General features: G+C 48.7%; 1 protein-coding gene across 8 annotated transcripts in view; it reads left to right on the top strand.

Annotated features, from left to right (window-relative positions):
- The window catches only part of LUC7L (LUC7 like), a 40460-nt gene that overhangs the window by 26290 nt on the left and 1241 nt on the right, over positions 1-12929 (top strand). For all 8 annotated transcript variants that reach the window (XM_011522561.3, NM_201412.3, NM_001320226.2 and 5 more), the window contains 3 exons: positions 3922-4098; positions 10145-10233; positions 12590-12619. In XM_011522561.3, coding sequence (XP_011520863.1) covers positions 3922-4098; positions 10145-10233; positions 12590-12619 — 296 coding nt within the window. The remainder of the gene's footprint in view (positions 1-3921; positions 4099-10144; positions 10234-12589; positions 12620-12929) is intronic.

Below are 12929 nucleotides of genomic sequence, written 5' to 3'. Positions count from 1 at the left end.
ATACTTTTTTTTTACACGGAGTCTCTCTCTGTTGCCCAGGCTGGAGTGCGGTGGTGCGATGGCTCGCTGCAACCTCCAACTCCTGGGTTCAACTGATTATCCTGCCTCAGCCTCCTGAGCAGCTGAGATTACAGGTGCCTGCCACCATGCCCAGCTAATTTTTGTATTTTTAGTAGAGAAGACGGGGTTTCACCATGTCGGTCAGGCTGGTCTCAAACTCCTGACCTCAAGTGATCCACCTGCCTCAGCCTCCCACAGTGCTGGGATTACAGGCGTGAGCCACTGCTCCTGGCTGTCTTTGAAGGGATCGGTCCATTTCATCTAGTTTATCGCTTTTGTGGGCATGGAGTTGTTGTTTTTAAGAGTTGTTTGTATTATTCCTTTAAAGTGGGTGGATCCGTAATGATGTCCTGTCTTTCATTTCTGATATTAGTACAGTCATATCTTTCTTAATGACAAGGATTAAATATTCTGAGAAGTGCGTTCCATGGTTCATCATTGTGAGAACATTATAGAGTGTGCTTAACAAACCTGGGTGGTATAGCCATGTGGGCTGTATGGTAGAGCCCATTGCTCCTAGGCTCCACACCTGTACAGCATGTTACTGTGCTGAATACTATAGGCAGTTGCAACACAGTGGGCCCCTAAATATTTGTGTACGTAAACATAGAAAAGGTACAGTAAAAATACAGTATAAAAGATAAAAAATAACACTTGATACGGTTTGGATGTGTGGCACGTCCAAATCTCATGTTGAAATGTGACCTCCAATGTTGGAGGTGGGGTCTAGTGGGAGGTGTTTGGGTCATGGGGGTGGTTCACTCATCAATGGCTTGGTGCCCTCCCTGGGATAGTGAGTTCACCTCAGAGCTGATTGTTTAAAGGAGCCTAGGTCCTTCTCTCTGTCTCACTCCTTCTTTTGCCATGTGATATGCTGACTCCCCTTTTGCTGCCTTCTGCCCAGCGTAAAAGCTTATGGAGGGTGGGTATGGTGGCTCATGCCTGTAATCTCAACACTTTGGAAGGTCGAGGCAGGAGGATTGCTTGAGTCCAGGAGTTTGAGACCAGCCTGGGCAACATAGGGATACCCCATCTTTACAAAGAAATTAAAAATATGGCCGGGCACGGTTGCTCATGCCTGTAATCCCAGCACTTTGGGAGGCCAAGGTAGGTGCATCACCTGAGGTCAGGAGTTCGAGACCAGCCTGGCCAACTTGGTGAAACCCCATTTCTACTAAAAGTATAAAAATTAGCCAGGTGTGGTGGCGGGCACCTGTAATCCCAGCTACTTGGGAGGCTGAAGTAGGAGAATCGCTTGAACCCAGAAGGCGGAGGTTGCAGCGAACAGAGATCGTGCCATTGCACTCCAATATGGGTGACAGAGCAAGACTCTCTCTCAAAAAAAAAAAAAAAAAAAAAAAAGCCTGGTGCGGTGGCTCACGCCTGTAATCCCATCACTTTGGGAGGCTGAGGCGGGTGGATCACGAGGTCAGGAGATCGAGACCATCCTGGCTAACATGGTGATACTCCGTCTCTACTAAAAATACAAAAAATTGGCCGGGCGTGGCGGCGTGCGCTTGTAGTCCCAGCTACTCAGGAGGCTGAGGCAGGTGAATGGTGTGGACCCGGGAGGCAGAGCTTGTAGTGAGCTGAGATCGTGCCACTGCATTCCAGGCTGGGCGACAGAGCGAGACTCCGTCTCAAAAAAAAAAAAAAAGTTATGTAAATGGAATCATACAGTAGGTAACCTTTTGGGACTGACTTTTTTTACTCAACATAATCAGAGTTTATTTTGAAAGATGTTAGAAGGTGGCATTTAAGGTTTCAAAACTATAGAAGGGGACAGAGTAATGTTATGAATATTTGTGTACCACAATATTGTTTTTGCTTAAGTTTTTTTTTTTTTTTTTTTTTTTTAGTTATGTAGCATACTATAATGGAAATTCAAGTTCTTGCTAGTTCCTTGTCTACTTTTTTTTTTTTTTTTTTCTCAGACAGAGTCTCGCTCTGTCGCCCAGGCTGGATTGCTGTGGTGCGATCTCGGCTCACTGCATCCTCTGACTCCCGGGTTCAAGTAATTCTCAGACTCAGCCTCCCGAGTAGCTGGGATTACAGGTGCCAGCCACCGTGCCCAGCTAATTTTTTTGTATTTTTAATAGAGACGGGGTTTCACCTTCTCGGACTCCTGACCTTGTGATCCACCTGCCTTGGCCTCCCAAAGTGCTGGGATTGCAGGTGTTAGCCACTGTGCCCAGCCTATTTTTTTTAATATTAGAGGGTCCTGCTGTCAGCCAGGGTCACCCAGGCTGAAGTACAGTGGCGCAGTCACAGGTCACTGCCCCTTCAACCTCCTGGGCTCAAGCAGTCCTCTCGAATCAGTCTCTTGAGTAGGTGGGACTATAGGCACGTGCCACCACAGCGGGCTAATTATTTTCTTATTTTTAGAGACTGAGTCTTGCTGTGTTGCTCAGGGTGATCTCAATCTCCTGGGGCCAAGTGATCTTCTTGCTTCACTCTCCTAAAGTGCTGAGATTATAGGTGTGAGTCACTACACCAGGCCTGGAATACAATTTTTTTTTTTTCCTTTTTGGAGTTTTCCTCTGTCCTCCAGGTTGGAATGCAGTGGTGTGATCTCAGCTCACTGCAACCTCCACCTCCTGGGCTTAAACAATTTGTGCCTCAGCCTCTCCAGTAGCTGGAATTACAGATGCCTGCCACCATCTGGCTTTTTTTTTTTTTTTTTCTTTTGAGACGGAGTCTCGCTCTTTCGCCCAGTGGCATGATCTTGGCTCACTACAAGCTCCGCCTGCCGGGTTCACGCCATTCTCCTGCCTCAGCCTCCTGAGTAGCTGGGACTACAGGCGCCCGCCACCACGCCCAGCTAATTTTTTCTGTTTTTTTAGTAGAGACGGGGTTTCACCGTGTTAGCCAGGATGGTCGTGATCTCCTGACCCCATGATTCGCCTGCCTCAGCCTCCCAAAGTGCTGGGATTACAGGCGTGAGCCACCGCGCCCGGCCAATTTTTGTATTTTTAGTAGAGACAGGGTTTTGCTATGTTGCCAGGCTCGTCTTGAACTCCTGGCCTCAAGTGATCTGTCTGCCTTGGCCTCGGAATGCTGGGATTACAGGCGTGAGCCACTGAGCCCAGCCTGTTAGTACCTTTTTTTTTTAAGATGGAGTCTCGCTCTGTTGCCAGGCTGGAATGCAGTGGCACGGTTTTGGCTCACTGCAACCTCCGCTTCCCAGGTTCAAGTGATTCTCCTGCCTCAGCCTCCTGAGTAGCTGGGACTACAGGCATGTGCCACCACACCCAGCTGATTTTTGTATTTTTAGTAGAGACGGGGTTTCACAAAGTTGGCCAGGATGGTCTCGATCTCTCTTTTTTTTTTTTTTTTTTTTTTTGAGACAGGGTTTTGCTCTTGTTGCCTGTGCGATCTCAGCTCAACAGCAACCTCCGCCTCCCGAGTTCAAGCCATTCTCCTGCCTCAGCCTCCAGAATAGCTGGGATTACAGGCATGCGCCACCACACCCGGCTACTTTTGTATTTTTAATAGAGATGGGGTTTCTCCATGTTGGTCAGGCTGATCTTGAACTCCGGACCTCAGGTGATCCGCCAGCCTCAGCCTCCCAAAGTGCTGGGATTACAGGCGTGAGCCACCGCGCCTGGCCTGGTCTTGATCTCTTGACCACATGGTCCGCCCACCTGGCCTCACAAAGTGCTGGGACCGTGCCTGGCCGCGTTTCTTAAATAAACAGTGAAAATTGAGTTGGTTATAAATATCTGAAGTTTTGTTTGTGTTTTTTTAATATTTGTTTAAAAGTCACCTCTGTCATCTTATCAAATATTTTCATTTTGGAGATTGAATTTGTGGTGGCAGTTCTATATACCTCACTTTTATTTCTCCATTTTCCTTCTTCAGGAAGAATACAGAAATTCCATGCCTGCATCCAGTTTTCAGCAGCAAAAGCTGCGTGTCTGCGAGGTCTGTTCAGCCTACCTTGGTCTCCATGACAATGACCGTCGCCTGGCAGACCACTTCGGTGGCAAGTTACACTTGGGGTTCATTCAGATCCGAGAGAAGCTTGATCAGTTGAGGGTATGTTCATCTGTTTCTGGAGAAAGCTGAGGAGTCTTGGGGTGTTTTCACATTTCTTTAATTTTTAAAAACCTTATGTTTTGGCCGGGCGTGGTGGCTGATGCCTATAATCCCAGCACTTTGGGAGGCCGAGGTGGGCGAATCACCTGAGGTCAGGAGTTCGAGACCAGCCTGACCAACATGGTGAAACCCCGTCTCTACCGAAAAATTAGCCAGGTGTGTTGGTGTGAGCCTGTAATCTTAGGTACTCGGGAGGCTGGGGCAGAAGAATTGCTTAAACCCAGGAGGCAGAGGTTGCAGTGAGCCGAGATCATGCCATTGCATTCCAGCCTGGGCTATAGAGTAAGACTCCATCTCAAAAAAAAAACAAAAAACATTATGTTCTGATCTCTAAGAACTTGAGTTTTATAGTGAAATACGCAGATTTCATCACTTGGATTCACACAAGAGACATGATAGCTCAGAGTCCAAAGGAGCCTTGGAGATTTATTTTGGACCCTGTCGTTAAGGGAAGAAAATGGCAGAGCCTGTTCCCAGAATACATACAGCTCGTTGTGTATCTCTGAAATAACTTCTGTTAGGAGATGAGAAAGAATCTCTGGTTGGTCAAGACAGAGTGTCACACATCCTGGCTCCTTGCCTATGAGCCACCTCAGAAGGGCGGGGTGAAGATGGGGTTTTTCTGGTAGCATTGTACCATCCCAGCCCAGAGAAAACCTCTGTTCCTTCTTCAAGACTCTAAGACATTTAAAAACTTTTTTTTTTTTTTTTTTTTTTTTTTTTGAGATGGAGTCTCGCTCTGTCGCCCAGGCTGGAGTGCAGTGGCCCAATCTCGGCTTACTGCAAGCTCCGCCTCCCAGGTTCACACCATTTTCCTGCCTCAGCCTCCACAGTAGCTGGGACTACAGGTGCCTGCCACCACGCCCGGCTAATTTTTGTTGTTGTTGTTGTATTTTTAGTAGAGACGGGGCTTCATCGTGTTTGCCAGGATGGTCTCGATCTCCTGACCTCGCGATCCGCCCGCCTCAGCCTCCCAAAGTGCTGGGACCACAGGCGTGAGCCACCGCACCCGGCCGACATTTAAAAACTTTAAGTACGGAATGCTAAGAAGGAAGGTTGGACGTATTTCCACTACTTTGAATTGTCTCCCTTCACACTGATGGAGCCCCCCTTACCGCATACTAGGACCTCAGGATAGGATGGTGGGAAATTAGCCAGCCTCCCCCTGTATACCTGAAATGTAGTGGAGGGACAGACGTGTCGCTGACTGCAGAATGCTGCAGTGACCACGGCTGAGGGCCTTTTGTGCCCCAGGAAAGAGCTGCTCACTCAGGCCGCATATGGCAGGGCTGTGCACCTCAGGAGGGTCCCATAGGTGATGGTGTGAACCTGGGACTGTGATGGGAGCTGGTGCAGCAGTGAGGTTATTCTCGGCCACTGGTCTTGAAACATTTTACTTCCGTGTTCCCGAGAGAATTTTGAAAAGCAATGTACTCTGTCAAAGTTGGAATTTTTCTTTATAAGTTTATAGGTATGAAAGATGTAAAAGTGAGGCTGGGTGTGGTGGCTCACGCCTGTAATCCCAAACTTCGGGAGGCCGAGGCAGGTGGATCACGAGGTCAGGAGTTGAAGACCAGCCTGGCCAACATAGTGAAACCCCGTCTTTACTAAAAATACAAAAATTAGCCAGGCATGGCAGCGGGCGCCTGTAATCCTGGCTACTCGGGAGGCTGAGGCAGGATAATTGCTTGACCTGGGAGGCAGAGGTAGCAGTGAGCTGAAATTGTGCCACTGCACTCCAGCCTACGAGACAGAGCAAGACTCCGTCTCAAAAAAAAAAAAAAAAAAAAAAAAGGCTGGGTGCAGAGGCTCAGCCTCCTGTAATCCCAGCATTTTGGGAGGCCGAGGCGGGCAGATCACTGGGTCAGGAGATTGAGACCATCCTGGCTAACAAGGTGAAACCCCGTCTCTACTAAAAATACAAAAATTAGCCGAGCATGGTGGTGGGCACCTGTAGTCCCAGCTACTCGGGAGGCCGAGGCAGGAGAATGGTGTCAACCCGGGAGGCGGAGCTTGCACTGAGCCGAAATTGCACCACTGCACTCCAGCCTGGGCGACAGAGCGAGACTCTGTCTCAAAAAAAAAAAAAAAAAAAGATGTAAAAGTATCTGTATCCAATAGAATTATAAATCACAATTTAGTATGCATTTACCACTCTATTAAAAATTTGCTTTTGGCCAGGCATGGTGGCTCACACCTGTAATCCCAGCACTTTGGGAGGCTGAGGAGGGCGGATCACTTAAGTCAGGAGTTCGAGACCAGCCTGGCCAACATAGCAAAACCCTGTCTCTACTGAAAACACAAAAATTAGCTGGGCATGGTGGTACACATTTGTATTCTCAGCTACTTGGCAGGCTGAGGCAGGAGAATCGCTTGAACCCGGGAGGCAGAGGTTGCAGTGAGCCGAAATCGAGCCACTGCACTCTAGCCTGGGCAACAGAGTGAGACTTTGTCTTAAAGAAAAAAAAATTGTTTGTTAGCCACTGGAAATGTTACTTTCCCATTTCTCCTTTAAATTACATTTTCATTTCACAGCTCAGAATTTTGTCCTACTGTAGTTGTTGGGTTTTTTTTGTTTGTTTGTTTGTTTGTTTGAGGCAGGGTCTTGCTCTGTCACCCAGGCTGGAGTGCAGTGTAACGAACTCAGCTCACTGTAACCTCCACCTCCCAGCTTCAAGAGATACTCCTGCCTCAGCCCTCCAAGTAGCTGGTACTATAGGCGTGCACCACCATGCCTGGCTCATTTTTGTGTTTTTAGTAGAGATGGGGTTTCACCGTGTTGCTCAGGCTGATCTCGAACTCCTGAGCTCAGGTGATCCACCTGTCTCGGCCTCCCAAAGTGCTGGGATTACAGGCGTGGGCCACAGTGCTTGGCCCTAATGTAGTATTTTTTTTTTAATATCTGCAATCTTTTATTTCCTTAATGTGTATCTCTGCATTAGAAATGTGAATATTGTGAAATGTTTTTCCCTTCTACCTTAAGAAGCATTAACTTGGTTAGAAAGCTTGTTTTATCATTGCAGCATAGAGTTGACCAAAACAACACAACTCGTATTACAGACTTTGATAAATAATTATTAAAGTAACAGTGCACAATGTATTTGGAAGTGCACCTCTTAATGATAGGGAGAGTGGGAGTTCTGTGCCCTAGTTAGAGGAGGCCTCACTCACAGTAGTCCCAGAGGTATCCACCTTCCTAGGCCTCCCAGAGTGCTGGGATTACACATGAGCCACTGCACCTGGCTAATCCTTAATTTTTTTAAAAACTGCCATCCTTGAGGCTGGGTGTGGTGGCTCACGCCTGTAATTCCAGTCTTTAGGAGGCCAAGGCAGGAGAATCGATTGAATCCAGGAGTTTGAGACCAGCGTGGGCAACATAAGGAGACCCTGTCTCTACCAAAAATTTAAAAATTAGCCAAGCATGGTGGTGTGTGCCTGTAGGTCCAGCTACTCAGGAGGCTGAGGTAAGAGGATTGTTTGGACCTTGGAGCTCAAGGCTGCAGTGAACTGTGATCACGACACTACACTCCAACCTAGACAACAGAGGATTTTTTTCGTTTTTTTTTTCAGAGACAGGGTCTCCCTCTGGCACCCAGGGTGGAGTGTACTGATGTGATGGTAGCTGATAGCTTATTGTCACTGTAACCTGGAACTCCTGGACTCAAGTGGCCCTGCATCCTGAGTCTCCTGAGTAGCAGAGACTACAGGCATGCACCACCATATCTGGCTCATTTTTTTTTTTTAGGTAGGAGGTCTTACTATGTTTCCCAGGCTGGTCTCAAACTCCTGTCCTCACATGATCCTCCCAGTTCAGCCTCCCAGAGTGCTGAAATGGCATGAGCCACCGTACCTGGCTTAAATGCCATCCTTAAACATCACCTTAAAGGTGTCCATCCATGTGTGCCCTGCTTCAGACACAGGATGAGCATGGGTGAAAGTTTAGAGCTGGAGATACCAGTCACCCAGCTCTGCATACTTTCCGTGCCCTTGTGGGGAGCGTGCTCTCATCCACACTGGGTATGGAAGATTATCCTTATGCCATCGTGGCTCTCTGGATGGAGAAGACTCGTGATTCTTTGTCTTACTGGCTCTGACTTGCTCCCACTCAGGGCTTCACTTGACACAGATGAGGGGCATTAAATGTCTTAGAGTTGATATTGGGAGTAGTGGGTATACAGAACGGTGCCCGGTGCTTTTCCACTCAGCTTGTGTTGACGGTATTTTCATTGGCGAGGTTTCTCATCCCCTTATATTGCTTTCTTCATCAAGCCTGATGATTCACATCATCCTGTGTTGAAAGCCAGTTGCAGAGGATTTGTGGTCCACCTCCCCTGGCCTGCTGTCCTCCAACTCAGTTTGTTCTAAAGCCAGCGTAGCACCCAGCACCCTGAGGTTGGGCTGCTTTTTGGCTGTAGGGATTCTGCTCCCAGTAGCAAGATGTGTTTGATGAGATACATCCGTCCTTTTTTACCATAAAGTTTGTACAGTCTCCTACCTATCTGGGTTGGTTTGAAACAATGTGATCAATTCCCTGTGAGTTAGAAGTATAGCACCACTTAGAATAGACAGTTTGTTACCACATTGTTAAAATCTAATGATAGGCTGGGTGGTTCAGGCCTGTAACCCCAGCACTTTGGGAGGCCAAGGCAGGAGGATTGCTTGAGTTGAGGAGTTCAAGCTCAGCCTGGGCAACATAGCAAGATTCCATCTCCATAAAAAATGTTTAAAGATTAGTCTGCCATGGTGGCACACGCCTATAGTCCCAGCTACTCAGGAGGCGGAGCTAAAGAGGCTTGCTTGAGCCTGGGAGGTCAAGGCTCCGGTGAGCTGTGATTGCGCCACTGCACTCCATCCAGCCTGGGTGGACAGAGCAAGACCCTGTTTCAAAAAAAAAAAAGTGGCCAAGCGCGGTGGCTCATGCCTATAATCCCAGCACTGTGGGAGGCCGAGGCGGGCGGATCGTGAGGTCAGGAGATCGAGACCATCCTGGCTAACATGGTGAAACTCTGTCTCTACTAAAAATACAAAAAATTAGCCGGGCGCAGTGCCGGGCGCCTGTAATCCCAGCTACTCCGGAGGCCAGGACAGGAGAATGGCGTGAACCCGGGAGGCGGAGCTTGCGGCGAGCCGAGATTGCGCCACTGCACTCCAGCCTGGGTGACAGAGCGAGACTCCGTCTCAAAAAAAAAAAAAAAGTAAATGTAAACGAGGCCGGGTGCAGTGCCTCACGCCTGTAATTGCTGCACTTTGGGAGGCCGAGGCAGGCATATCACAAGGTTAGGAGTTTGCGACAAGCCAGACCAACATGGTGAAACCCCGTCTCTACTAAACATACAAAAATTAGCCGGCCGTGCTGGCACGCTTGTAATCCCAGCTACTCAGGAGGCTGAGGCAGAAGAATCGCTTGAACCCAGGAGGCAGAGGCTTCAGTGAGCAAAGATCGCGCCACTGCACTGGGCAACAGGGCGGACTCTGTCTCAGGAAAAAAAAATGTAATGATAAAGCATTTTTTCATGTGTTATCTTCTTCATTAAGAAGTTTTAAAAATGAATGTGTTGGCCGGGCGCGGTGGCTCATGCCTGTAATCCCAGCACTTTGGGAGGCTGAGGCAGGCGGGTCACAAGGTCAAGAGATCAAGACCATCCTGGCCAACATGGTGAAACCCCATCTCTACTAAAAATACAAAAATTAGTTGGGTGTGGTGGCATGTGCCTGTAATCCCAGCTACTTGGGAGGCCGAGGCAGAAGAATAGGTTGAACTCGAGGTGGAAGTTGCAGTGAGCCGAGATCACGCCACTGCACTCCAGCCTGGTGACAGTGAGACACCGTTTCAAAGAGAAAAAAAAAAGTATTCCCATTTCCTAAAAGTGTCCCTTCAATTTTTAAATTACCAATACTGAGCTCATATAAAGGTGATTTGTTAAGTAGCATTCACACTCTGGTTTGTGTAACTTGCTCTTCCTCATTTTTTGTTTCATTTATTTAGAAAACTGTCGCTGAAAAGCAGGAGAAGAGAAATCAGGATCGCTTGAGGAGGAGAGAGGAGAGGGAACGGGAGGAGCGTCTGAGCAGGAGGTGAGCCTGAGGGCTGGCACTGGATGGCCTGCATTGGCCTCGGGCATTCCCTGCTCGGTCCATTCCACTGTTGCTTGGAATAGGCAGGGCCTGCCCAATAGGCCGTTATAAAAGAAAATAGTAAGGCCAGGCCTGGCGGCTCACGCCTGTAATCCTGTCAGTTTGGGAGGCTGAGGCGGGCAGAACACTTGAGGTCAGGGGTTCGAGACCAGCCTGGCCAACATGGTGAAACCTTGTCTCTACTAAAAATACAGAAATTAGCTGGGCGTGCTGGCATGAGCCTGTAATCCTAGCTACTCGGAGGCTGAGGTGGGAGAATCACTTGAGCCCGGGAGGCAGAGGTTGCAGTGAGCCGAGATCGTGCCACTGCACTCTAGCCTGGGCAACAGAGACTCCATCTCAACCAAAAAAAAAAAAAAAAAAAGTAAACAGCATATTCAGTCCAACAAAACAAAACAAAACACGTCCCAGCGCAGGACTGTGTGTGCATGGCAGTCAGGTAAGGGATCCAAGCTGTTGGAGGCTGTGTGTGGGCACTGCTGTTTACTTACTGAGTGCTATGGGGCCATTGGACACCTGTTTACGCAGGAGGGGTGGTGCCTGCTCCCCTTTGGCAAGCGTGCTGGGCTGGAGTAGAAGCAGCAGGACCTTGGGGAGCTAGGTGGGAAAATCCAGATGGAGGAGGTGGCAGTTTAAGCCAGGTAAGGGGTGCAAGGAGTCGGGGAAAGTTCTGGGATAGAACTGATGGGATTTGCTGGTAGTGTGTGAAGCGTGCAGAGGAGGAAATGAAGCTGGTCTCCTGGTTTCTGGCCCGGAGTTGCTGCTTGGTGAGGTTGGAAGGCTGGGTGTGGTGTATTGGAGTGGGAGGAGGTGGGAAGTAGAAGATGCCTCTGGCCACACTCAGCTTGAGAGGCCATCTTGAGGTGGGGCTGTTGAGTCTGTTTGGAGTTCAAAGAGGTAGGAGCCAGAAGTATCCACATCCTCCTGGAGACAGCTCATTGTCCAGGAAGGTTCCCAAACCACTTTTCCTGAAATAATTCCTCAGTGCATAACTCAGGGCGAATGTTTATTGTGTTTGTTTTTGAGACAGGGTCTCGCTCTGTCACCAGGCTGGAGTGCAGTGGTGCGATATCGGCTCACTGCAGCCTCCACCCCCTGGGTTCAAGCGAGTCTCCTGCCTCTGCCTCCCAAGTAGCTGGGACTACAGGCCTGTGCCATCACGCCCAGCTAATTTTTGTATTTTTAATAGAGACAGGGTTTCACCATGTTGGCCAGGCTGGTCTCGATCTGTTGACCTCATGATCTGCCTGCCTCAGCCTCCCAGAGTGCTGGGATTACAAGCGTGAGCCACCACGCCCGGCCGTTTGTTGTTTTACCAGCAGGAGATTCTGATTGGAGAGAAACTTAAACAGTATAGAAGAAAATATTAAGCAAAACACACAATCCATTTTTTGCATGGAGTTTACATTTTTACATGCACTGTCATGTTTAGGCCATTTGTGTTGCGGATGTACATGGGGCCACTTGACCTTAATGGCTTACGGGCATAGAATGAGGCCTCATAGCTTGCCTTTTTCAGCCTCTTGGTTGTGTGGCAGAATGAGCTGATGACTCTCACCTGACAGGAAGCCTGTGCCTGGAACTTCGGGCTTTGCTTTTCCTTTTCTGTGTTTTTGGTGTGCCCCACTCGCTGTCTGCACATTCTGTGCTGGTGTCTGTTGTAAAGACTGGAGAATCATTTGTAGGACTTGAGTGCAGCACAGTCAGTGTGCACAGACTTTTCACGGCCCTTGTAATGTTACAGGGCTGCGTCTGATGCTCGGATGTGGGCCTGTCTGTGAGGCTCAGGTGACACTGAGTGTGCCACAGAGTGGCTGTGGGGATGGGAGCATTGGCACTTCCCATTCAGACTGGGAACATGCAGGCAGCTTGAAAACAGCAGGTCTTTGGGGGAGGTGCCTCACTTCTTAAATTTGGAGTCCTCCCCCAAGAGGGTGAGGAATAGGGGTGCTTTCGGGAAGTCATTCACTTTTTTTTTTTCTTTTTGAGACAAAGTTTTATTCTTGTTGCCCAGGCTGGAGTGCAGTGGCACAATCTCAGCTCACTGCAACCTCTGCCTCCTAGGTTAAAGTGATTTTCCTGCCTCAGTCTCCTGAGTAGCTGGGATTACAGGCACCCGCCACCACGCCTGGCCAGGTTTTGTGTTCTCAGTAGAGACGGGGTTTCACCACGTTGTCCAGGCTGGTCTCCAGCTCGTGACCTCAGGTGATTGCCTGCCTAGGCCTCCCCGAAGTGCTGGGATTACAGGTGTGAGCCACCATGCCTGGCCTTGTTCATCTTTTTTTCCCCCTTTTAGGTCGGGATCAAGAACCAGAGATCGCAGGAGGTAGGTTTCCAGGTCCATTAAAATGTTCTCAAATTTTTTTTTCCATAAGCATTTTTCTTAATATTTAATGATTATGCCTTTACAAATGTTACCTGGCAGGTAGGGCTGGCTTGTGAAGGGCACAGGGCAAGAGGTTGCTTGGTGCCGTGGAGGGTTCCCAGTGTTAATGAGAGGGAAGGTCGGGGCCTGCAGGGTGACAGGAGTATCCAGGCCACATGTTTTCAGGAGACCTCATTGGAAGGACCTAGCCATTGGAGATTAACTGATGGAAATATTTTAAACCTAAATTTGTGGGAGTAAAGGAGAAAAT

Source organism: Homo sapiens, chromosome 16, assembly GCF_000001405.40.
Source record: "Homo sapiens chromosome 16, GRCh38.p14 Primary Assembly".
Classification (NCBI taxonomy): Eukaryota; Metazoa; Chordata; class Mammalia; order Primates; family Hominidae; genus Homo; species Homo sapiens.
The sequence above is the reverse complement of the archived record's forward strand: the minus strand, read 5'-3'. Positions and strand labels throughout refer to the sequence as shown.